The sequence below is a fragment of the Homo sapiens genome, chromosome X, assembly GCF_000001405.40.
Source record: "Homo sapiens chromosome X, GRCh38.p14 Primary Assembly".
NCBI classification, from domain to species: Eukaryota; Metazoa; Chordata; class Mammalia; order Primates; family Hominidae; genus Homo; species Homo sapiens.
The window spans coordinates 95,287,250-95,291,459 of record NC_000023.11 but is presented as its reverse complement, the minus strand read 5'-3'; the positions used below and the strand labels follow the sequence as shown (position 1 = coordinate 95,291,459).

At 37.4% G+C, this 4,210-nt stretch overlaps 2 annotated features.

Moving 5' to 3' along the window:
• Positions 443-1,642: an enhancer, noted in NCBI's record as "CDK7 strongly-dependent group 2 enhancer chrX:94544817-94546016 (GRCh37/hg19 assembly coordinates)". NCBI's record gives its function as "activates an origin of replication core promoter dependent on BRD2, BRD4, P300/CBP, MED14 and CDK7 cofactors, with strong dependence on CDK7, by STARR-seq in HCT116 cells {active_cell/tissue: HCT116}" and the evidence as "EXISTENCE:reporter gene assay evidence [ECO:0000049][PMID:35650434]".
• Positions 562-1,086: an enhancer, noted in NCBI's record as "NANOG hESC enhancer chrX:94545373-94545897 (GRCh37/hg19 assembly coordinates)". NCBI's record gives its function as "activates a minimal SCP1, AML or CMV promoter by ChIP-STARR-seq in naive H9 embryonic stem cells {active_cell/tissue: H9 hESC(naive)}" and the evidence as "EXISTENCE:reporter gene assay evidence [ECO:0000049][PMID:30033119]".

The following is a 4,210-nucleotide window of genomic DNA, read 5'->3' as shown; positions in this document are numbered from 1 at the left end:
GGTCTCATCTTTCAGAGCAATGGGAATCACTCTGGTACAGGAAAGGCCCAGAAATGCTTTTCAGAAGCCAAATACTGGAATCAGGAACCCCAAGATCCTGCTTAGTGCTCTACCCTCCCCCTATGACTAAGCTAATACCTAAGGTGCAAATCCAAGTCCCTTTTACTTTTCTTTCTGTTTTTGTCAAGCAGAAGGTGTCTTGCCCCATAGTCATCACAGCTGGGAGTATGCTTATTCTCATCTTAACCCAGCAAGTCTCAGAGTCTCAGCCCAAGCTCTCAATGTAGCATTTGGGTATCACTCCTGGTTTTGCAGAGGCTAAAGCCTCTTCACTTAGCAGATAATTCTTCCAGGACAGGGTTCTTTCCTTCAAGGCAGAGAGCTCACTTCTGGCCTAGGGTGTGTCTAGAAATGTTGTCTCACAGCTATGTCCTGGAACGGGGACCTCATGACTCTGATCAATACCTTAGTCAGCTGTGGCTGAGTTGGTATCCAAGATGCAAGACAAAGTCCTACACACTCTTCTTTTCTCTCTCTTTATGCAGAGTAAAGGGGTCTATCTGGGAGCCTTGTGCTGTGCAGCCTGAGGTTAGAGAAGCATTGATGCCAGCACTCCTTTAGCTGCCCTGTTGTCCCTGTAGATTACTTGTCCACTTAGTTCTCTGGCTCTGGGCCCAGTTCAGCACTAGTACTTAACTAGGATTTACAGTCTTTTAGGCCTAGACTGCCTTTGAAGTTTATTTTGAGTCACACAGCACTTTAGCCCATTGTGGCAAGGCTTGCAGGATCTCAAGTTCTGACTACTGGGATTGGTGATTCTTCTCTGTCTGGAGCTGGTTTCAATGCTCCTCAGTGGGTGGGCATTATCTCAGTTTGGTTCAGTTTTACTTTCTGCTGTAACAGGGTAGCGGTGAGTTCAATGACTCACAATTGCTGACTCTCCCTCTCCCCAGAGCACAGGAACGCTTTTAACAGCACGCCATCACAGCTGGAGGATGAGGGTAGAGTGGGCATTGGTGATTCAAGACTGTTTTTTCTACCCACTCACTGTCTTTTTCAGTGACATGAAAGTAGAATCATGTACTGTGAGTGCTCACCTGATTTTTGGTTATTATAAAGGTGCTCATTTTGTGTAGATAGTTGTTAAATTGCCATGGAGATGATTCATGGAGCATTCTATTCCTTCATCTTGCTTCACCTCTTTCCTTTATTTTCTTTCTTCTATAATAAACAAACAAAAAAAAATTTGAGACAAGATCTTGTTGTGTCACCCAATCTGGAGAGCAAAGGCTTAATCATAGCTCGCTGCAACCTTAAAGTCCTGGGCTCAAGAGATCCTCACACCTCAGCCTCTCAGGTAGCTAGGACTACAGGTAAGAAACAGTACACTAAGCTAATTTTTGAATTTTTTGTAGAGATGAGGGGTCTCACTATGTTTCCCAGGCTGGTCTTGAACTTCCAGCCTCAAGCAATCCTCCCACCTCAGCCTCCCAACGTGCTGAGATTACAGACGTGAGCAGCCACATTTGGCCTAATTTTTTTCTGACATTTATATTTACCTTTGCATACGAGGCTGAAACAATGTGAGCAGTCACTTACCTCGGTCATATGCATACACTTTTGGTGAATTTTTTCTCTTTATTGTCTTTAGGTTTAAATGTGTAAGCTGTTTCAAATTTGGTGATATGTTTACTAATGGGTACTATTCCAACAAAGCTTTCTAAATAAAAGAAAAAAAACATTTAAATATCCTCTGGTAGTTGTAATAATACAATTGATTTATATGTGGAATTAAATTAATTTATTAATCATTTTGGTGTAAGCAAGGATAAACCTGAAGGTGCATGGCAAAAAAAAAAAATACTTTTATTGTTACCTTTTTCTGGTTATTGCTTTTCATTCCTTGTATAATCATTTCTTATCAATTATGAATCATAACATTCTAACAAAGAGATTGAGTGATTCTGAAGCAGTGTTGTTTTCTTGGGTAAATACCCAAGAATTGTCTCACTCCAAGGAAATTGAGGATGCAGACACAGAAGAAGTGAGATTCAGAGTGGAGGTTTAATAGGAGAGAGAAAAGAGAAAATCTCTCTCTCCTGCAGAGAGAGAGTGGATCCTAAGTGTGTCTCCCAGTTTCATGGTTAAATGCATGGGGTTTTATAGATGAGCTTGAGGAGGCACTGTCTGATTTACATAAGGCCCAAGAGATTGGTCAGGCCAGGTATGCCATTTACATAATATTTGAAGAAGCTGGCCATGCTTGACCCCTAGCTAGCCTTTTCAAGGCTGCTTTTAATTAAAAGGAAACCTTACTGAGGACTCTCTTACCCTCACTATCTGTCTAAATAATTTATTTCTAGCTCCTGTATCATTTCAGTATGGTATTCTTTCCATGTTCTCCTTGCTCATATCTAAATTTCTTGCCCATACAATTGTATCTCAGTGAATCATTTGGCCTAACTAGTTATAGAAACCAAAGATCAAAATTGAGATTTGCTCTAATTCAGACTAGTATGACTATAAATCCCATTTGTTTTTAAATATAGCAGGGGCATATTATACAAATCATGTTAATAATAGTCTAAGATTCAACTTCTTTTTTAATAATTACCATTTCATTTCAATTATTCACGGTAGCTCAAACTCATATGCCATCATGAAATTACACAAGACTGTTTTGAAGAGACAGAAAATGTTTCACACTGTGCTTTATTTCATTGGCAAAAAAGATGATTACGCTATGACACCCACAATTGTCCTTAAGAATATGATTTTATTTGTTGCTGGGCTTAGGTTTCTAAGATTATTTTGAATAATCCTATTTCATTCTTGAGTGCAAATAATGGAATTCTATGCTAGCTCAAATGTACATAAATACACATGAGTATTAACATGTATGCATATATGTATGTGTTATTCATAGAAAGGTTGAATTTCACAATTGTAGTAAAATTTGCATTTTACATATAAATTTTACATGGAGATAACTGTTGAATTTAATTTTTATTTGTGAAAGTAAGAGCATTTGAAAAGTATTGAAGGTTATGCATCTTCTATTATGGTATCTCTATTTTGGCCCCCAAATTAAGTAGGGTTTTATACATTAACTTTTCCTTCAAATTTAACTGCAGGCTTTAGGGTAGTCCATTTATAATATACTGCTATATTATCTTAATCAGTTTTGAATGTTTTTGATGTTCATTTGGGGATTACTAGGGAAAAGTGGCATAGGTGTGAAACTATGGTATTTACTATGCTTAGTGTTTTATAGATTCACATTAGACAAATATTCTCATCAGTTCAAGGAGTAGAGCATAATTGAGGATAGAAGAAATAAATAAGCATACTCTAATATCCTTGAAGGAAGAATTGAGTTCCTGGTTTTAATTAAGACAATTAATACAGGATAGATTTTTTTATGCTACGTAATTTGACTGGTTGGCTTAATTATTTAGGAAATTATATGTTTTATTTACATAAAGACTAACTTTGTTTAAACAATGAAATATTCTGTGTTTTCTGAAAGGCTTATTTTCTGCTCTTTTTGTCCTCTAGATTGAAAAGACATAAAGCTGAATAGTCTTCGCATAAGTGTATTTTTTTCTCTCCTATTTTATGTCTCATCTCCTTAAGAGGGCAGTGCTATACTCCATAGTGGAAGAAACTCGGACTTTTGTGTCCAACAATTATGAGTTGGAATTGTAACTCTTTTTCATTCATGCATTTATTCAATCAGTATTTATTGAGAAAGACTGTGGAGATGATGGAGAACAAAAGCTCTCTTTGATTTATAGTTTATTGAGGTAAATAGCCAAGAAAGAAATCAGTTAAAATGTTGACTATTTTTGTTGTCTTCTTTAAGAAAAGTCTATGAGATGTAGATTTGCATGCCACATTTGTTATGTGGGCAGGTGAGATACTCTCAGAATCAACATCTATGAGGGGCAGAAGACAAAAAGATTGGACAGAGGGAGCTGAACCAGATAAAATGTTAACAAAGACCTCAGCAGGTCCCTCTGGATACTCTAGAATGGATATGATCTTCAAAAGTTATGTCACCTTGAGGCAGTGATTCTGGACCTTTACATACCTGCATTTGCCAGTCATTGAATGTTGTGTACTTCAGGAAAGGAGGTATGGTCTTAAGGTAAAGGCTCAGCTACCAATGTTTGTAAGCAGCTGGAGGACTAAGTACCTAAGTTCTGAA